This window comes from Homo sapiens, chromosome 2, assembly GCF_000001405.40.
Source record: "Homo sapiens chromosome 2, GRCh38.p14 Primary Assembly".
NCBI classification, from domain to species: Eukaryota; Metazoa; Chordata; class Mammalia; order Primates; family Hominidae; genus Homo; species Homo sapiens.
The window spans coordinates 237525993-237546971 of NC_000002.12; the positions used below are offsets into that span (position 1 = coordinate 237525993).

Below are 20979 nucleotides of genomic sequence, written 5' to 3' on the forward strand. Positions count from 1 at the left end.
ATGTGCGCTTCCCTGTAACTGTCAGAACTTCCAGCACAGGAGGTGGCCAGCCCACAGCTCCCTGCTTCCAGCCTGGGGTGGGACATGCAGGCCTCCCTGAAATGACTAGAACCACTGGTCAACCGGCCAACCATCCTGGTCTGGGCAGGATGGGCATCTGGGCATTGCCACTGCTGGCCCACAGTCAGTTCAAGTCTGTTGATCAGGAGATCTTTAAGCACTGAGAACCTAAATCTGCTTGGCTTAACTTTGTCGTCAGTTTTGCTTTGAAATGAAATCCCCAAAGCTCTGTCTTTTCTGGTACCCCAAGGGTGTATGTACCATGGGTCCGAGAGTTCAGATGTCCCATCGGAACAGGAGCAAGTAAGATCACAGCAGCAGCCAGCTTTCCCCAAGCCACAGCAAGTGGCTGCGTGCGGGAAAGCTGTCTACTCTCCAGCTTCCCTCTTCGTTGTATTGAAGGGGCCGTAATCTCATGCTGACGGGGACCTTGGAGGCTTTGGGAGGAAGGCAGGGCTCTACTTTCCCCCAAAAACAATGATTAAATGAATCTACTTTGGCCAAGCCACAGGGTGCAGACCTGGAGAGCAGTTTTATTTCCTCTGTGATCTCAAGTCCCCTGAGCACGTCGACCGGAGGCAGTCTGGGGGAGAGGCCATCGTGCTGGGAGAGCTGCCTCAGAGTCAGGCAGTTCTGAGTTTGGAGCCTCACTCTGCCAGTCTGTTTCACTGGTTCTCACACACGTTCTTTTTACACACCAACCTCTCAAACGGGGAGTGTCTTACAGTGAATGTGGTAAGAAAGGGGTATGCTTGAGACTCACTGGCAGCACTGTCTCTCAATAATGCAACATCCAATCTGCAAAGTCTGAGATTCATTGAGGTATGCTGTGCTGTTAGAACAAATCGCTTAACCTCTGTGCACCTCAGTTTCCTCATTGTACAAAAGGGGTTAACAACGTCTAACTCATCCCATTGTCATAGGGATTAAATGAGATGGCTGAACCTGTTGACTACATAGCAAATTATCACAAACCTAAAATGTGGCTTGAAACAACATGTTTATGATCTTATCATGGAATCTGGTGTTATTTGCAATTTGAAATTGGGAATCATATTACATTTACTTTGCAAACATGCAAAGTATGTCCACTCATAACCCCCACCCACAATGCCAGGCAAGGTCCTCTTTTTTCCTGAAGATCTTTGTGTGTGGCTGTGGAATCTGCCCCATTCTTATTGTGACTTTGGAACCTCAGCCCTGTAACATGAACATCCTTATGTCTTCATTTTCTTTGAGCCTCATTTTTCTTCATTGGACTAAACACGTCCATCAGCTTTCAGGTTTTCACTGCAAGTAATTCAAACCCACTCTCGCTCTGAAGGGTCGAATGTCATCAGGAATGAGCAGCTGCCCCTGCAGTACTTGGCCGATGTGGACACCTCTGATGAGGAAAGCATCCGGGCTCACGTGATGGCCTCCCACCATTCCAAGCGGAGAGGCCGGGCGTCTTCTGAGAGTCAGGTAACGGTGGCTGGAAAGACTTCTGTCTTGTCGTTTCTTTGGGTGGAGTCTTTTTACCTCCACACCAAGTCACTTTAGAGAAATTACAGCTTTTAATACTTTCAAACTATGAAATTGCACAAGCCTACTTAATGGAGATACGTCATCACAATATTTTTTGTGGAAGTGAATTCACATAACAGAAAATTAACCATCTTAGTATGGCCATTCCCCAAAAATTAAAAATCGAGTTTCCATAGGATCCAACAATTCCACTTCTTGGTATACACCCCAAAAAATTGAAGACAGGGACTGAAAAAGATATTTGCAACCCCGTATCCATAGCAGCGTTATTTGTAATAATCAAAAGGTGGAAGTAACCCAAGCGTCCATTGACAGATGAATGGATAAAAAAATGCAGGATGTACGCAACATGGAATATTATTCACCCCTAAAAAGGAAAGAAACGCTGACACATGCTAGACCATGGATGAACCTGGAGAACACTGTGCTAAGTGAAATAAACCAGTCACTCTGGACACATGCTATATGGTTCCACTTAACCTGAGGTTCTTAGTCAAATTAATAGAGACAGAAACTAGAATAGTAGTCACCAGGGGCTGGGGTCAGGGGGATGGGAATTAGTGTTGAATGGGCACAGAGTCTCTGCTTTGCATGATGAAAGGAGCCCTGGAGATGGACGGTGGTGACAGTTATACAACAATGTGAATATACTTAATACCTTAAAAATGGATAAAAGGGTAAATTTTTATATGTATTTTATAATTGAAAAAAGTAATATTTTATTGAATTTAGGAGAAAATAAATAATCTTTAGTCTTTCAAAAAATTTATTTTTTTTTAATTTTTTTTTGAGATGGAGTCTCCCTCTGTGGCCCAGGCTGGAGTGTAATGGCGCAATCTCGGCTCACTGCAACCTCCACCTCCCGGGTTCAAGTGATTCTCCCTCCTCAGCCTCCTGAGTAGCTGGGAATACAGGCGTGCACCACCATGCCTGGCTAATTTTTGTATTTTTAGTAGAGACGGGGTTTCACCTTGTTGGCCAGGCTAGCCTCAAACTCCAGGCCTCAGGTGATCCCCCCACCTTGGCCTCCCAAAGTGCTGACATTACAAGCGTGAGCCACTGTGACGTACAATTCAGTGACAGTACATTTACAGTGTTGTGTAACCACCACCTCTCTCTAATTCCAAAACAACTTCACCCCCCAAAAAAATCCCATACCCATGAAGCAGTTACTTCCCAGTCTCCCTTGTCCCCGGCCTCTGACAACTACCAGTCTTCCTTCTGTCTCAATGGATTTGTCTATTCTGGACATTTCATGTAAATGGACTCACAGAAGGACATCTGGCCTTTTGTCACGAGCTCCTTTCACCGAGCATAATGCTTCTGAGGTCCATCCATGCTGTAGCACATATGGGTGCTTCATTCCTTTTTATGAAAATATATATTTTATACTTGATCAAGTATTATATATTTTACAAGAGGAGGAAATAATCTGTCAGCTATGTGAAACGCTTAGCAGGCTGTATTATTATTATTTTTTTTAGAAAGAGTGTTGCTCTGTTACCCAGGCTGGAGTTTAGTGGAGCAATCTCGGCTCACTGCAAGCTCCGCCTCCTGGGTTCAAGCGATTCTCCTGCCTCCCCTTCCTGAGTAGCTGGGATCACAGGCGCCCACCACCACGCCCGGCTAATTTTTGTATTTTTAGTAGAGATGGGGTTTCACCATGCTGACCAGTCTGGTCTTGAACTCTTGACCTCCAGTAATCTGCCCACCTCGGCCTCCCAAAGTGTTGGGATTACAGGTGTGAGCCTCCATGCCCAGCCCCTTAGCAGGCTTTATATAGGCATTAAGAAACTCTGCTCATAATACTTAACACCTGTTAAATTAGTAGAATCACTCACATTGTAGACATTAACTTATGAAATAATTCATCACAAGATTCAAGTGCCCTGAGTTCCGCTTGCTGCATTTAAATGATGATTCTGTTGAGTCAGCTGATTTCAATTTGAGCAAGTTCATGTTACCGGGGGAAAGGCAATATTGTTTCTTCTGAGAACATCATGACCACTAGGTTCTTTAAGGCAATGAAAGACACAGGCTATTAATGTCTCTGATAGAGCCTTGACTCCAGCAACGTAATCACAGGATGGGGGACTGTTCTGTAACTGATGACTCTTGAGGCATGAAACCCAGAGAAGGGGAAGTGGGGCTGCTCTGAATGGAGACCGGAACCGCAGTTTCACCAAGGCTGGTCTCAGGCACATCTTCTGGAGCCTGGATGAATGTAGGGCCAGCTCCTTGGGCATGGTGATGCCTGGTACAGAGCCCCTCCTCCCTCCTCCTGGGAGAGCTGGGGAAGGGAATGCCCTGTGGAGCTTCCCTTCGGGCCTGTGGGCTCTGGGCTGTCAGGAGGGAGGCTAAGTGAAAGCTGAGCCTTGTCAGGAAAGGCCTGGAAGCAGCGAGGACGCAGGTGGTGCACAGCTGGGGTTCTCAAGGGGCAGGCGAGGTGGGCAGGGCACGCAGAAGCTGCTCTGCAGGGTCTAGGGCTTCTCCAGCGCCCTGGCCTTTCGGTGCACAGGACGACCTGAGATGGAGCATCACCCAGCTCTTCAGCCACAGGGCTGCAGATTCCTCTCCCAAGGCCTTGGCCTACACTGTGGCAGTCACTAGACCAGCACTGGCTCACGAGTGGGCAACAGGAAGTATGCAGTAGGCCCTGGGCTTTTCCGAGCCCTCATTCAGCAGGAAATCTGTCCCGTGGCTGTTCTCACAGGGCCAAACCTTCGCGTGCATGATAGGTGAGGGGCTCCTCCGACATCCTGTCACTTTGCTTCTGCACCCAGAGAAATGATCTACCAAAAATGAGCACCTGAATTTCAAAAAGAGACTTCCTTAGCATGGCAATATGGGGAATCATAGGGGTTTGGGTTCTAAAATTGGGCTAGTGTCCACGGGGCAGAAGCATGCAGTTTCTGAATTCAGCATCTCTCTGGACTCAGTGTCCTCAGCTGACTTTTTACTGTAGTGTCATCTGGAAGCTTCCTCAACCCTGGGTGGAAGTTTCTCCTGCACCAACTTCCTTGAGGGCCCACTTAGTCTCTGAAAGAAGCACTCTTGCCCCTGAGCATAGCCGGGCATGAAAGGCCCTGACAAGGCCTGCGTGAAGACTGCTTATGGCCGCGTCACCCATTGGGGCCCACAATTCCTGAGGCATGGAACTCCTTTTGTGTAACAGCAAGCAAGGCCCTGACACAAGGAAGTGTCCTTTCATTCAGATCAGGGAGTGACTGGCTTGGCCCCTGCAGTTTCTGTGTCCCGAGAGGACTTGAAACCTGCAGGTATGCTGAGCTCTGGCGGGGACTCAGAGCAGACCCAGTGCTGCAGCAGTCAAGCCTCCACCACCTGCATTCGCAGGTCTAGTTCTGCAACACGGAACACACACAAGTCGAGCAGAGCCACTTCATTACTCACAGTCAGGCAGCGAGGTCCCCCAGGCTCAGGGAAGCTGCAGGGAGGGTGGAGTATCGGCTGCAAGTATCCTGTGTCATGCGGCAGCTGGGGGGTCCCAGAAAGCATTCCTCTCTGAGTCTTATACCCTGGGAAACTGGGATCACTGGGCCAAAGGATATCCAGTTCTAGAGCCCAGGTTCTAGACAGTCCAGACAGTTCTTCCTTACATCAGGAAGTGGCTTTCTTGACACATTCTACAGTTATTCTGAGAAAAGGGGAAGAGCCAACTCAGCCAAGTCCATCCAGGGACCTGTGGATGCAGGGGACAGTGGAGGACTAGGGTGGCCAGGATAGAGACCTCCCCAGTGTGGCCAGGATAGAGACCTCTTGGGTGAGGCCAGCATAGAGACCTCTCAGGGTGGCCAGGTAGAGACCCATGGGACATCCTTGGCTGGCTGAGCATCTCCTAGTCTCCTAGCCTGAAGACAACAGGATGAAGAGGAGAATCAAGTTGTCTATTTTCAGTAAACCTGTAGTTTAGCAACTTTAGTAGCCTTTAGTAAAATACATAGCGTGGTTTCCAGCCCCACTGAAACCAATTATCCTTTATACCTGCTTGGAATTATTCTCTAGTTCATGTTTGTATATCCTGCCTGTGGAATTGTTTCTCTTTATTTATTCCTATTAACTTGTATTTACTTTGCCAACCCTAAATAATGAGATTCAGAAAATATAAATAAGTATTAGTATATCAAGTTTATCAGAACAAAAGCTTGACAGTGGCCACCCAGAAACACAGACTTCAAACAAATGGGGCCCAAAGTGGACTAGTGAAGTTTTCACCTATGTAGAAATTGTAGCAGGATCACAACCTTGCAAAGGAACAGTGACCTGGGGGGCCCTTATCTCCAATCCTGTTTGGTCTTAATTATTCACAGGGAAAAAAAAAGTAGAAGTTTCAGCTGTGAAACATGTCCTCTCAAGACTCAGAATTTAAAGTTCCAACAGCTTTGTTTGAATTATTCAATGTGACAACCTCAACTAATATTTCACCTAGATTGTTTCCCATGCATCTTTATATGGAGGAAATTAAGCAGCAGAAAGAAGCTCCAAATGCAGCAGCGATCCTGTACTTCAGAGAAAACCCAGGCAGACTCTTAGAGGGGCCTTTGTGAAGTGGCTGTGGTGGGACCCCAGGAGGAAGCACTCTCAATCTGCCCATCAACCCCAAGACTCCCAGCCATGCCCTCAGGGCCTGAGCTTTCTCAGGAATCGTATTTTATCACAGCTCATCTGAGGGGTCAGGCAGCTGTGCATTGCCTGCCTTTGCATTTGTATTGACAGTCACAGCTTTCCCGACGAGGGGTAAAGACTTCCTGTAGATATTGTTCAAGCCCAGACAAGGCCCAAGATGGCACAAGCATGTGGTAGGAAGGAAGTTTCTAAGGGGCTGAGATGGGAGACGGGAGAGGAAACGGCCCTGGCACGCACCCTCCGCCCCCTCACTCCCAAGGGCCGGCCCTGGGGCCATTCGTGTGTGCTCGGGCTACAGACACTGACGGTTTCCCATAAAAGTGTCACCAGTGACATATTTTGTTGGTTTGCTTTAATCCCTAGCTAGTGTCTGTATTGCATTTGTAAACTCTAAACTTTGGTATTGTCGCGAGTTGAAAGCTCAAGGGGTTCCTACCTAGTATTCTGTCCGTACATATCTAAGTAATGTGATAATCCTGATGACTGGTGCCCACACAGGGTCAGATGCCCACGTCTGAGTGATGCTACTCCCACCAGAGCAGTTGTTACTGTTGGAGAAATATAATTTTTAGAAAAACCCGAAATCTTTTCATTACCCAGAAAATCTCTCCATAAGGGTAGCAGAGGAAGAAGACAGATTTATTCTTGAACAAGCATCAAACCAGAATATGGCACGTGCCCCAGGCAATCCGCTGAGAGATTGCAAAGACAGGAAGGCCTCTCAGCCCTTCTGCAGCCCGGCAGGCCCGGCCCATTCCACACAGTTCTCAGCACAAACCATCACCAGTCCTTACCAATGAGAGGAGCTGATGGTGCCTTTGATCACAGTGTACATCCTCACTCTAGCATCATAACCGGGAGACCACTTGTGTTGGCTTTAACCCTAAGAAAAGCAACCTTCTCACACATCTTTAAGATGGGAGCTAGTTTTGCAAACTGGAGCAAGGCGCCCACCCACGTTAGACTCTTCACCCTCTCCTGGGGAGTGGGAGCTAGAGTTATCTTCAAGGATGTTTCCATTTCAAAAACACAGTTCCCAGGTGGAGTTTTGAGACTGCAGAGAGGCTTTTTAGCCATTTTAAAGATTTATATGTATTTGGAAAAAGCAGAGAAAGAAGCTCTGAAAGACAAGGGGGCAGTGGGAAGTCTCTTCTCTATTTTCTTTTCTTTTTTTTTTTTTTTTTTTTTTGTCAGAGTCTTGCTCTTGACACCCAAGCTGGAGTGCAATGGCATGATGTCAGCTCACTGCAAACTCCACCTCCCAGATTCAAGCGATTCTCCTGCCTCAGCCTCCCGAGTAGCTGGGATTACAGGCATGAGCCACCACCCCTGGCTAATTTTTGTATTTTAGTAGAGATGGCGTTCGCCATGTTGGCCAGGCTGGTCTCGAACTCCTGACCTCAGGTGATCTGCCTGAGTCCCCAAGCCCACTGCTTCCGGGAGACAGAGGATGTGTGCTGAGTGCTGTCTCCCCAGGGTATTGATCTCTGCTTCTGCAGATGCTCAACGGGACCAGAGGGTGACTCAGTTACTAGTGGCCGCTCAAGGCGTGGGCCGAGGTCTAACTGAAATCCTGGTGTTGACATTTCTCAGCCAGTCATGTTCTTCGGGCAGATTTGCCCACTCAAAGCCCTTGGTGCTGTGATGATTCAACTAATTACCGACCAAACAATACAAAAGCATCTTAACACTCCACAGCACCATTTCCCTCTTTTAAAGCCAGGTGAGCCGTAAATGAGATAATGGCAGGAAAGATGCATCTGCTGGGTGAGGAAGAAAACTAGAAAATTGATTTATCATGTCTCAGTCTGGGAGCTAATAGACTTTGGGTGACTCAAGAGTCTGGTGACTCAAGGGATGAGGAAGTTGTACTTCTGGTCCCTTTAGGTTGTCACCTGAAGTGCCTTGCCTCCTAGCCCACTAGTGACCCCAGGCTCTTGCTAGCTAATGACTGTGAGTTTGATCACTGTGGCGTAATTAACTGATGTCTTCCTGTGCTGCTCGGTACCGGCAGTGACAGTGGCTGTCCACAGTAATGACACCATCACAACCTTCCAGATTCAGCTCCTTGTCCTGCTGGACTCGGCTCCTCTCCTCCACTTTCACCCTCCCCACTCTCCCCTCTCTTGGTTCCGCTCCAAGATTTTGCTTGGTGTTCCAGAACTCTTGGTGTTAGAAATGGGTTTCACAATTAACCTTCCCAGGCCATGTCATGGGTGGTGGCCTTAGCTCTCCTTCCGCTTCTTGGGAATTTGGTGCTTCAGAGGTGGTGGGTGCCAGTGTCTTGCTGGTTGGAGTGCACTGGGTCCTCTGCCCACTGTTTCTCTCCTTCTGCTGCAGATCTTTGAGCTGAATAAGCATATTTCAGCTGTGGAATGCCTGCTGACCTACCTGGAGAACACAGTTGTGCCTCCCTTGGCCAAGGTAACACTGGGGGCTGGGCAAAGAGAAAGGGCCCCCACAGCTCCTTAGTTAAAGGAGGCTGAAGTGTGACATGGGCTTTTGGGAGAAGAGTTTCTTGAGATTTTGCTGTTTGTAAGGTTAAGTTCTGTGTGTAGTTCTCAGAGAGCCAGGCAGTTCCCACCACATAGCCTGAGTGAAGTCTTCTGTCCCATCCAGGCCTGCCACCACCTCTCATGCCCAGAGCTTGAATGAGAGAATGCTTGGAGGGCACATACGTGTAACAGCCTTCCCAGGGGACATAACTGGAGATGGGAGGAAACTTGCTTGGCCCTACAGCCTCTGAAGTCTAGGCACCAAAGCAGGGTGGAATCTCCTTCCGCACCATGTTTGTGAATGTATCATCAGCACAGCTTAGTCTGCTATATGCTGCTATAGCAAAATACCACAGACTGGGTAACTTATAATGAGCAGAAATGTATTTGGCTCATGGTTCTGGAGACTGGGAAGTCTAGGACCAAGGGGTGGCATCTGGTGAGGGCCTTCTTGCTGTGTCACCACATGGCACATGGTGACAGAGGGCAGGAGAGACAGAAAGCAAGATGGAACTGAACTTGCTTTTATAACAACCACCCTGGAATGAATAACAAATTCATTCCTTCAATAATGATATTAATCCATTCATGAAGGCAGAGCCCTCACGACCTAATCACCTCTTGAAGGTCCCACCTCTCAACACTATTGCACTGGGGATCGAGTTCCCAACACATGAACTTTAGGGGACACAGTCAAACCACAACAGCACACCGAGACAACCTGATGGGGAGTAAATAAAACAAACCATGGCCTGCTGCAGGAGTGTGTGTGCATGTGTGTGTGTGTGCTTTTGTGTCTGAGAGACAGGCAGACAGACAGCCGGGGTGCAGAGGGAGTAGGGACCCAGTCCTCCATTCCAGCTGAGTCACAGCCACACATCTAGCACCTGGGCACGGAGATAAGGAGATTCAGCAAATATGATTAAGTATTGAGTTTCTTTGAGCACAAAGTTTGAGGACAGCCTTCTGGGCCACACAGACTCCATAGGAATGGGGTCAGTGCTCCAAAGTGGAGAATTTAAAGTTTCACTTATATAGGCAGAAACAGAGAAGTTTCTCAGTGTTACAGCATTTTCCATACAAGGCCTATAATTACATTGTAGCAATTCACTAGGTTACAGCTTACTAATTCCGAGGAAGATTGCTTTAACACTCCATGAGTAGGGGTAATGATCTTGAGAGGGGTCTCATCTCTGGCACCACTCGGTCTTTCCCAATCGTCTACAGAGAAAAGCAGAAACAGAAGTTGCATGCCACTTGACTCAGGCCACATAGCCACATTCCTCTAGAGGCTCCCAATCATTTAAAGTTCCAACAGCTTTAAGTTTGAATGATTTCACTCCGCAGGACGCTCCTTGTAGCACCCTAGGTTTGCAGCTGCTCATTTTTCTTGGGGCCAGGGCTCCGGAGAAACAGATCTGGGTGAAGCTCGGGTTGGGGGCATGAGACCAAGTGGGAAGCAGAGCACACAGGCCCCAAGTTAGACCCCAAGGGCTACCCCTGCACAGGCTCTGACCCCGGCCGGAGCGGAGAGAGACTGAGGCCCAGCCCACATGCCATGTGTCCAGCAGGGACCACAGCTGCCTTTATCTATAAGGGGATGAGTTACTGTGCTCTGTGCTTTATGGGTTACTAGAGCCAGGCTGACCATGTGCCATAATTTCATTTAATCCTGCAGTACCCCTGCAAGGTAGACATTTCTTTCCCTCACTTATAGATGAGGAAACTGAGGCCCAGGCTCTCATGAGTGAGACTCGGCCCATCACTGACCGGAGAGCACCAGCTGAAAGCACAGGGAAGTTAGGGAGAGCATTGCTTCCCACGGGATGCCTCTGGAAGGGCCCCTGCCTGCACTGAGTCAGAGTGGCCCCAACACAAGCTCCAGCGCCCCATCGGACCCCATGTCCCATATCCAGCCATCCAGCCCCCAGGCCCCTGCGGAACACTGACCCAGGTCTCACTCGGGCCTCGGCTCTGCCTCTCAGGTGGACACTGGAGATCTGTCACTCACCTCCTTCACCCCCTTCCTGCCCAACTCCTTCCCCACCCTGCTGACCCCTCAGCAACACTCGGGACCCGCTGTCCTGTAGCCTGCCCGGCCCTGGCTCCAGCCCACCCAGAAACAGATTAACCTTGTGGAGGGAAAGGGCAGCCACCCTCGCTCTGGCTCTTGTTGGTACCTCCTGGCTTTGGCCTTTTGCTCATACAAATCTCAGCCCAGGGACTAGTAAATCAGAAGTAACAGACTCCACATGGGACCTGCACTGCCCATACACTCCCCGCGAGGGGACACTGCTCGCGGAATGGCCCTCTGGGCCATCAAGGAGCTGGACCTGAGAGGCAGCGGGGCCCTCCACCTTGAGGGGCTGGATCTGGGGCCACCAGCATCCTGTCAGGGGCTCTCAGGGCTTTTGCACCTGGAAATCCCTGGCAAACAAGGACGAGTTAGTCACCCTGGCTGTGTCCCGCCATGCTGGTTCAGGTCCCTGTCACACACGTATGTTGTCATGTGTTTTCCACACATACATGTGTATATGTGTGCATGTGTTGTGTGTGTAGGTTTGTGTGTGTGTGTGTGAATTTATTTACTGGCTTACAAAGCGAAGACAATCCCTGCCTCTCCCAGGCATCTACCGGCTTCCACCCCCATACCCCGTCGCTCTGCTGCGTCCTGCCTGATGGGCGCTGGGCTTCCATTTCTCACGGGGATCCTGCAGTTTCTCAGCCCCATGCACTCTGGGACGAAGTTCAGCTCATATCAGGCCCAATGGCGTTTACAGGCTGAACGTCATTCCCGATCTTTCCACCGAGGGCCTCTGTGATTTGGGGGCTTTGTCAGGAAAGTGGAGCCTCACGGAAAAGCATACTGGCTAAAACACGCGGCTTCTTCATCGACTCAATCTAATCATCCCCTTGGTGTTCGTCTGTGAGACCCCAGGCAGCCAGCCCTGTCGATCTGTCTCAATAGGCTTCGTCCAAATAGAAAATTAAATGATCATGTGCAATATCCTCGGCTTGATGGGTGAGGGAGGGATCGATGCAGCCCAGGGGCGCCGTGGGCTGTGAGCAACTTCCTGGTGGAGGCACCTGCTCTCCCTCCCTCCCAGCCCTCCAGTGTCAGTGGAGGTGATGGCTCCCAGAGGAAGGGACCAAGGACGGCACTAAAGTTCCCCAGGTGGCATCTCTGCGCGGCCCTCGCCTCACACTTCAAAGTCGACTTCATGGGGCCAGGGGAGAGCCCTCGGAATGTGGGATGGATGAGTGAACGAGCAGGTGCACGGGCAGACAAGTGAATGGGCGTCGTCTTCCTGGCCATCTTGCTAACTTGTGTGACTTCGTCACCTGGGAAGAGTCGGGAGACACAGGGAGCCACTCTGCTCCCAGCACCGGCTCCTGACGATGGGGAGGTGGCCGTGAACAAAGTCGACAAAAACGCGGGCCTTGTGGGGTTTGCATTCCATCTGGGAGAGGCAGGAAACACGCAACTGCTGGAACACCAAGCTTTCCCCCAGGAGGGCGGGGCCTGCGTCTGCTGAAGGGAACTCAGCATAGACAGGGTCACAGGGAAAAGGCCAATGATGTGTTACTGTGCACATGAACACGGGGGTCCCCCAAATGTGGGACTCGAAGCAGGGACAGACGACTGAGGTTTACACCCAAGGCGACAGGACGGATGGGTCTTGGGGCTTCCTGAGGGGTTACAGGGGTGACAAGGTCACGGGAGGGTGAGGGGAGGAAAGCCTTCTGGTTATGCAGATAAAAATCTCTCGGGTAACCAGGAGCTGCCCTCGAAGAATCGGCAGCAGTCCATGCTGGCGGCGTCGCTGTCCGACGTGTCACTGTCAGGCATCAGTGTCCTTTTAAGGCCGCTGAGGGGGTCTCAGAGAAAGCCTGTCTGCCTGGTGTTCAGCTCACCCCTATAGCTTTCCTCCAGGGATGAAATCCACCCCCAACACACACACAAAAAGACAGGTTTTCAGAGTGATCCCGTCTGCAGCTTCTCTGAATAAACAGCTGGAAATAAGTCCCAGAAGTCTATTCTGGGGTGGTGTATTTTGGTTTCCTTCACAACCCAACAAGTGGAACACAGGTCAGGAGGTGGAGGAAGGTACAGAAAAATAAATCAAGGCAGAAGGTCCCTGGGGTGAGGGTGACATTTCAAACAGGACAGTCAGGGCGCCTCACTGAGCGTGGGATTTGCCCAAAGAGCTGGCAGAGGTGCCGGGGCTGCCGTGTGGCTGTCTAAGGTCAAGTGTTGCAGCCCCTCCTAAGGTCCCAAGGAGGGAGCCGCTGCAGGAGACAGCCCGGCCAAGATGGGCGAGGCAGGGGCGGGTGGGCGCGCAGAGGCTGGAGCCGGACGTAGTGGCAGAGTCAGACAGAACGGAGCCTCCCAGGCCATGGTCCAGGCTCTGCCTTTTACTATGGGGGGGCGGGGAGGCTTGAGCAGAAGACAGCTGGCTGAGGGCACAGGGGTTGCTCTGGCCATCCTCCTGAGAACAGGTTGTGGAGGTGGGGGTGAGGCAGCAGGGCCGGCTGGGAGAAGGCGGTGGTCGAACCGGAGAGCAGCGAAGGTGGTGCAAGGCAGACCGATCCCGGGGGCCTCGCGTAGGCAGAGCCAACAGGAATGGATATCTGGGATGAGAGAAAAAGAGGGGTCATGATGTCTGCAAGGTTCTTGGCCTAAGCGAGCTTTAAAGGGTGAAGCTGCCTTTAAAAATGTGAGTTTTACAGTGTGAGTGACACTTTCAATCTCATCGCCTACCTTAGCACCATGTTGGCTGTAAGAGGCAATTGGGATAATTTTGTGTTTTTATCACATAACTCTGCCACTTTCTCGGAGCTGGCACCTAAAACCCTTCATGAAAGGCCAGCGTCCACAACAGTTAAAGCCTGCCCTTAACCCTCCTGCCTCCTGCCCACAGACAAGGTGGCCAGTGGAACTAGACCCTTTAAGGACTTTACAGAGATTATTGAACTGAGTTCTTATAACTTGCAGGTTGGATACTGCTATCACCACCATTTTAAAGCTGAGGGAACTGAGATGCAGAGGGGTTGAGTGACCTGCCGAAGGTCACATGGCCTGATAGGGAGCCACAGGTGAACTCGCAGTCCAGTGGCTGCTGTTATGTGATCAGGAGCAGTGTGCCCCAGAGGAGTGTCCCACAGCAGCTGCTAAATGAATCGTTGGCCAGAGCGTGGGAAGAGCCCAGCCCCTGAAGCTGGACCCGACCAAGGCTGTCTGTGTATTTCCCTGAGAGAGAGTGGGCAGAGATCCATGACTCCACACCCCTCTCTCCTCATCCCTAGAGTAAGGACGTCAGCCTGGAATAAACAAATGGCACCCTTAAACAAAAGGGATGAGAAGGGAGAAAAAAAATGTGGGTCTTAGATAGCCAGGGGTGGTGGTCAGCTTTCCCTGGGAACCCCCAGCCCTGCAGAACCTGCTCCTGGAGTCTGGGACTGGGCCCCAGAGGGGCATGTTGGACAAGCTGGCATGGAGAAGGGAGGCAGCTGAGCTCAGCAGGAACCCCAGGTGTGCTGGGCCCTGGCCCATCTCCCAGAGCCAGCCCTGGAGCTCCATGGCTCCAGATGGCTAGCCGAATCCAAATCCACTGGCCTGTTCTGTCAGGGTCTAGGTGCTGGAGTGCGCACGGAGGCCGATGTAGAGGAGGAGGCCCTGAGGAGGAAGCTGGAGGAGCTGACCAGCAACGTCAGTGACCAGGAGACCTCGTCCGAGGAGGAGGAAGCCAAGGACGAAAAGGCAGAGCCCAACAGGGACAAATCAGTTGGGCCTCTCCCCCAGGCGGACCCGGAGGTAAGACTATCCCCCAGAGGTCTCAGCAGGACCCTGCAGAGGTAGGGGCAGGGATGGACAGTCCCAGCTGGCAGCCACCCTCCCCAGGGAGGCAGCACCCACAGGAGCACACCAAGGGCCCTTGATGGGGTCTGCAGCGGGTGGCCGGCTCCTGACCAACCAGCTCCCAGGGTTCAGAGAGGAGAGCAATATCGTGGTGAGTCCCCATCTGGGTGAAACCCCACACTCCCTCCTGCTGCTGGTCAGCCTCCGTCCTTCTCTTTCCTAGGTGGGCACGGCTGCCCATCAAACCAACAGACAGGAAAAAAGCCCCCAGGACCCTGGGGACCCCGTCCAGTACAACAGGACCACAGATGAGGAGCTGTCAGAGCTGGAGGACAGAGTGGCAGTGACGGCCTCAGAAGTCCAGCAGGCAGAGAGCGAGGTAGCCCAGAAGGCACAGGGGAGCACTGAGTTCCACAAACACAGATGGTGACCACACCCAGGCCTTGAACATCTGCCAGCTCTAACATCCGCCAGCTCACACTGAGCCCTCCCCATTGGCCCAGCATGCACGGCTCTGAAGGCCAGGCATGAACCTGGGGGTTTCTGGGGGACTCACCTAATTCGCCACCCCCTGAGCCCTCCACCCCTTCCCTTTTTCCTGTTCAACTTGGTGAGGGACAGGCAGGGTTTCCACCAAGAAAAAGGTGCTGAACACACAATCCCTGACCCAGGATGGGGGCCTAGAAGCAGGCCTGGAATTTAGGACAGCCCCAGACCTCAGCACTGGACTCTGTCCGGAGGGCCATCTGTGAGTCTGAGTTGTGGCTGCAGAGCTTGAATCTGGGTGAGGAACCCATCAATAGTGCACAAAGGTCAAAGGGCAGAGCCAAAGCATTCAGGCCTCCCAGGGACAGCTGAGGTGACTTAGGCACTGCTCTGTCCTCCCTGGAGACCTACAGAGAGGAGAGGGGGTGCCTCTCGGACTGTGAGGACAGCCAGCCCCCACGGCCCTCCTCCACTTCCCTTCTCATCAGCAGGTGCCTGTCACTCCCTAAGGACAAAGGGCACGTCCCCTAGAGCTGTTCAAGGGGAGCGAGTCAGGCTCTGGACTTTCCCTTCATGTATTCCTTCTTGCTTTGCAAATAAGCTTTAAATGCCTAGAATGTAGCCCACATTGTGTAGGCCACGGAAGATCTGGTGCAAATACCTTAGACGAAGCCCCAGCCTTCCTGGAGCTTGTTTTTAGTGGAAGGAGATAAACAGCAAACAAACAAGATCATTTGGGTTCATGAAAAGTGTGATTAAGACAATCAGTGAAGGTGAGCCCCTAGAGTGCTCGGGGCAGGGCGATTGAGATAAGGCAGTCAGGAGGGATACTAGGAAAGTAAGCCAGCCTGGCAAATCCAGGGGGCAGGAGGCCGGGTGGAGGGAGCAGCCCGTGCCAAGGCCCTGGGGTGGCAGTGGGCTTGGTGCCTGCAGGGATTAGCCGTGAAACCCCCACACCAGGTCAGAGTGATGAGGGGAGAGTGTGAGGAGGGTGGACGGCAAAGGCCCCTGGGGGCCACTGCAAGGATCTGAGTAGGGGGTGATGGGGCCTGCTTCTAATTTCCAGAAGCTGCCCCCAGCTGCTGTGGGAGGAGGGGCCTAAGACGGGAGGGGTGGAATGGGGGCCAGGCAAGGATGATGCCAGTGGGAGTGGCCGACTGCTAGGTGAAGAGTAGCCACTACTGTCCTTGCATGTCACGGCCCCTCCTCCAGCCCCTCATGGGAGCCGGACTCCCTGAGACTCAAGAAAATGCACCCGTCCTGCGTTCCTCCTGCCTGGGGTGACCCATAAGGAACACCCCCCCCTTCTCAACAACCACAGAAGATAAATGCCAAGGGGACCACCAACATGGGCATGGGGCTGTGATGCCAATCTTAAGGGAAAACACAAGTAAAATTGGCTCCAGGACTGAGCTGGGGGCAGCTGCTCTTTCTGTCCATGACTTTGAGGCGGGATCTCGAGCGTCTGTCTGACGGGCCTTCTGTCTGCTGTCCTCTCGCAGGTTTCAGACATTGAATCCAGGATTGCAGCCCTGAGGGCCGCAGGGCTCACGGTGAAGCCCTCGGGAAAGCCCCGGAGGAAGTCAAACCTCCCGGTGAGTGGGGGGCAGTGGTGAGTGGAGACAGTGCTGAGTGGGGGGGCAGTGGTGAGTGGCGGACAGTGGTGAGTGGGGGACAGTGGTGAGTGGAGGGACAGTGGTGAGTGGGGACAGTGGTGAGTGGGGGGACAGTGGTGAGTGGAGGGACAGTGGTGAGTGGGGACAGTGGTGAGTGGGGGACAGTGGTGAGTGGCGGACAGTGGTGAGTGGGGGACAGTGGTGAGTGGGCACAGTAGTGAGTGGGGGGACAGTGGTGAGTGGGGACAGTGGTGAGTGGGGGGACAGTGGTGAGTGGGCACGGTAGTGAGTGGGGGGACAGTGGTGAGTGGGGGCACAGTGGTGAGTGGAGACAGTGGTGAGTTGGGGGACAGTAGTGAGTGGGGGGACAGTGGTGAGTGGGCACGGTAGTGAGTGGGGAGACAGTGGTGAGTGGGGACAGTGGTGAGTGGGGGTACAGTGGTGAGTGGGCACAGTAGTGAGTAGGGGGACAGTGGTGAATGGGGGACAGTGGTGAGTGGGGGACAGTGGTGAGTGGGGGCACAGTGGTGAGTTGGGGGACAGTGGTGAGTGGGCACAGTAGTGAGTAGGGGGACAGTGGTGAATGGGGGACAGTGGTGAATGGGGGACAGTGGTGAGTGGGGGACAGTGGTGAGTGGGGGCACAGTGGTGAGTTGGGGGACAGTGGTGAGTGGGCACGGTAGTGAGTGGGGGGACAGTGGTGAGTGGGGGAACAGTGGTGAGTGGGGGACAGTAGTGAGTGGGGGACAGTGGTGAGTGGGGACAGTGGTGAGTTGGGGGACAGTGGTGAGTGGGGGCACGGTAGTGACTGGGGCGACAGTGGTGAGTGGGGGGACAGTGGTGAGTGGGGGACAGTGGTGAGTGGGGGACAGTGGTGAGTGGGCACGGTAGTGAGTGGGGGGACAGTGGTGAGTGGGAGGACAGTGGTGAGTGGGGGACAGTAGTGAGTGGGGGACAGTGGTGAGTGGGGACAGTGGTGAGTGGGGGCACGGTAGTGACTGGGGCGACAGTGGTGAGTGGGGGGACAGTGGTGAGTGGGGGACAGTGGTGAGTGGGGGACAGTGGTGAGTGGGCACGGTAGTGAGTGGGGGGACAGTGGTGAGTGGGAGGACAGTGGTGAGTGGGGACAGTGGTGAGTGGGGGGACAGTGGTGAGTGGGCACGGTAGTGAGTGGGGGGACAGTGGTGAGTGGGAGGACAGTGGTGAGTGGGGACAGTGGTGAGTGGGAGGACAGTGGTGAGTGGGGACAGTGGTGAGTGGGGGGACAGTGGTGAGTGGGGGACAGTGGTGAGTGGGGGACAGTGGTGAGTGGGCACGGTAGTGAGTGGGGGGACAGTGGTGAGTGGGAGGACAGTGGTGAGTGGGGACAGTGGTGAGTGGGGGGACAGTGGTGAGTGGGCACGGTGGTGAGTGGGGGGACAGTGGTGAGTGGGCACGGTGGTGAGTGGAGGGGACAGTGGTGAGTGGGGACAGTGGTGAGTGGGGGGACAGTGGTGAGTGGGGGGACAGTGTGTGGGGGGACAGTGGTGAGTTGGGGGGACAGTGGTGAGTGGGGACAGTGGTGAGTGGGGACAGTAATGAGTCGGGGGACAGTGGTGAGTGGGCACAGTAGTGAGTGGGGGGACAGTGGTGAGTGGGGACAGTGGTGAGTGGGGGGACAGTGGTGAATGGGGACAGTAGTGAGTGGGGGACCGTGGTGAGTGGGGGCACAGTGGTGAGTGGGGACAGTGGTGAGTCGGGGGACAGTGGTGAATGGGCACGGTAGTGAGTGGGGGGACAGTAGTGAGTGGGGACAGTGGTGAGTGGGGGGGACAGTGGTGAGTGGGGGGACAGTGGTGAGTGGGGGGGGACAGTTGTTGAGTTGGGGGACACTTTAGTGTTGGGGGGGACATTGTTTATTGGGGGCATAGTGGTGTGTGGTTGTCAGTGTGTGGTGGTGGTCAGTGGTGATTGGGCACTGTAGTGAGTGGGGGGACAGTGGTGAGTGGGAGGACAGTGGTGAGTGGGGACAGTGGTGAGTGGGGGGACAGTGGTGAGTGGGCACGGTGGTGAGTGGGGGGACAGTGGTGAGTGGGCACGGTGGTGAGTGGAGGGGACAGTGGTGAGTGGGGACAGTGGTGAGTGGGGGGACAGTGGTGAGTGGGGGGACAGTGTGTGGGGGGACAGTGGTGAGTTGGGGGGACAGTGGTGAGTGGGGACAGTGGTGAGTGGGGACAGTAATGAGTCGGGGGACAGTGGTGAGTGGGCACAGTAGTGAGTGGGGGGACAGTGGTGAGTGGGGACAGTGGTGAGTGGGGGGACAGTGGTGAATGGGGACAGTAGTGAGTGGGGGACCGTGGTGAGTGGGGGCACAGTGGTGAGTGGGGACAGTGGGTGGAGGGGGCACTATTGGTAGGGGGGACAATTATTGGGGGGGGGCACTAATTGTGAGGGGGGACCAGTGTTGAGTGGGGGAATAGTTATGAGTGGGGACAGTGGTGAGTGGGGGGACAGTGGTGAGTGGAGGGCACAGTGGTGAGTGGGGACAGTGGTGAGTGGGGACAGTGGTGAGTGGGGCACAGTGGTGAGTGAGGGGAACACAGCAACCCAGTTGAGTTGGTGCCCCCTGAGGCCTCCCCACAGCACACACGCCACCGTGGGCCTGACAGCAGGATCCTGGGCCCCCCACCTCCCTTCCCGTGAACATCCGGCCTGAGTTTCCTCATAGCCAGTTAGCCAGCTGTGCCTTTGTTGGGGTTCATTTTTGTTTATTATTTGTTGTTTCTACCCTAAAAAGGCTCTTTATGAGGGGACTCTGAGCCTCTGCTCTGAGGATCTGAAACACACACACCCTGACAGTGTAAAATCCAAAAGGAGCCGCCTGAATCATGTTGCCTCATGTGGAAATCCTTAGTCCGCCGCCACGTGAAGATGGATGTGACTAGAACGGAGGGCGCGGGAGGCTCACATCAGAGGAGCTGCTCACGTCAGGCCAACATCCTCCTCTCCTGATCCCATTCAGGAATCTTCAGACAAAACCATCCTGATTAGGACATTTGGCAAAAGAATGAAAGATGACCTTAGGAGAGTCCCAGATAGGGTCATGACGGAAAATACAGGATGCCCAGTTAGCTCTAAATTTCAGATCAACAACTAATAATCTAGTATAAGTATACCCCATGCAACATTTAGGACTTACACTAAAAAAATTAGCTGTCGATCTTGTGAACACAAAATATCTGAGACAGGTCTCAGTCAATTTGGAAAGTTTATTTTGCCAAAGTTAAGGACACACCCATGACACAGCCTCAGAAAGTCCTAAAACTTGTGCCCGAGGTGGTTAGGGGTACAATTTGCTTTTATACATCTTAGGGGGACATGAGACATCAATCAGTAGGTGTAAGATGTACCTTGGTTCAGTCCAGTAAGGTGGGACAACCCTTAAGTGGGGGCTTCCTGGTTGTAGTAGATAAGAGACAAAAGGTTGCATTCTTTTGAGTTCTTGATCAGCCTTCCACTGAACACACAATTTAGTCTGGCTCAGTGAGTCTGCATTTTTACAGAAGCGATAGGGGAAAGGAAGCAATCAGCTATGCAGGTGAGCCTCAGGGGGATGACTGTGAATAGAATGGGAGGCAGCTTTGCCCTAAGCAGTTCCCAGCTTGACTTTTTCCTTTAGCTTGGTGATTGTGGAGTCTCAAGATTTGTTTTCTTTTCACAATCTGAAATTCAAAGTTCCCTGGGTATCCTGTATTTTCATTTGCACACTTTGGCGCCCTAGTCCCAGAGTCCTGGAGCGGCATACTGGGGGTGGCTGTGCAGTCCCAGCATCCCCAACCCAGCATGTATAGAGAGCATCCATCCTTACATCCAGCTGACCCATGCCCATGCTCCTCCCTGTGGCTGGAGGTTCAACAATAACATAAGTCTCTTCTTTGCCCTCCAGATATTTCTCCCTCGAGTGGCTGGGAAACTTGGCAAGAGACCAGAGGACCCAAATGCAGACCCTTCAAGTGAGGCCAAGGTATGTGTTACTCCATTCAAGCCCCAGACACCCGACAAAGGTGGAAGACTGCACCCCTTTCCAGCAGTGTGGCAAGTCCACGGGGTGGCAGAGATGCAATGTCCTCACAGCTACCCACACAGCAATGCCCACACAGCTGCCACAACACCGTGGCAACTCTTGTGAGTTGGCTTCCTCCGTGGCACACACCTGAGCTGGATTTGTGTAGATGCATTTGTTGAAAATCCAAGAAAGCCCAGTAGGGGAGCGGGAAAGTGAGACGGGAAAGGAAGGAGGCAAGCATCTGAC

The 20979-nt window shown here is 52.8% G+C and overlaps 1 protein-coding gene across 19 annotated transcripts in view, besides 2 other annotated features; it reads left to right on the forward strand.

Moving 5' to 3' along the window:
- Nucleotides 1-20979, forward strand: part of MLPH (melanophilin) — a 68913-nt gene that overhangs the window by 39583 nt on the left and 8351 nt on the right. For 5 of the 19 annotated variants that reach the window (XM_017004893.2, NM_024101.7, XM_006712737.2 and 2 more), the window contains 6 exons: nt 1385-1524; nt 8572-8655; nt 14356-14541; nt 14810-14965; nt 16575-16667; nt 20614-20691. In XM_017004893.2, the coding sequence (XP_016860382.1) occupies nt 1385-1524; nt 8572-8655; nt 14356-14541; nt 14810-14965; nt 16575-16667; nt 20614-20691 (737 nt within the window). Of the gene's footprint in view, nt 1-1384; nt 1525-8571; nt 8656-14355; nt 14542-14809; nt 14966-16574; nt 16668-19464; nt 19654-20613; nt 20693-20979 lie in introns of those variants that run through there. The other 14 variants (XM_047445806.1, NM_001042467.3, XM_006712740.2 and 11 more) reach the window with 8 other exon arrangements.
- Nucleotides 3754-4163: an enhancer, noted in NCBI's record as "active region_17367". NCBI's record gives its function as "activates an Ori minimal core promoter by ATAC-STARR-seq in GM12878 lymphoblastoid cells {active_cell/tissue: GM12878}" and the evidence as "EXISTENCE:reporter gene assay evidence [ECO:0000049][PMID:35858748]".
- Nucleotides 15820-16321: an enhancer, noted in NCBI's record as "H3K4me1 hESC enhancer chr2:238450455-238450956 (GRCh37/hg19 assembly coordinates)". NCBI's record gives its function as "activates a minimal SCP1, AML or CMV promoter by ChIP-STARR-seq in naive H9 embryonic stem cells {active_cell/tissue: H9 hESC(naive)}" and the evidence as "EXISTENCE:reporter gene assay evidence [ECO:0000049][PMID:30033119]".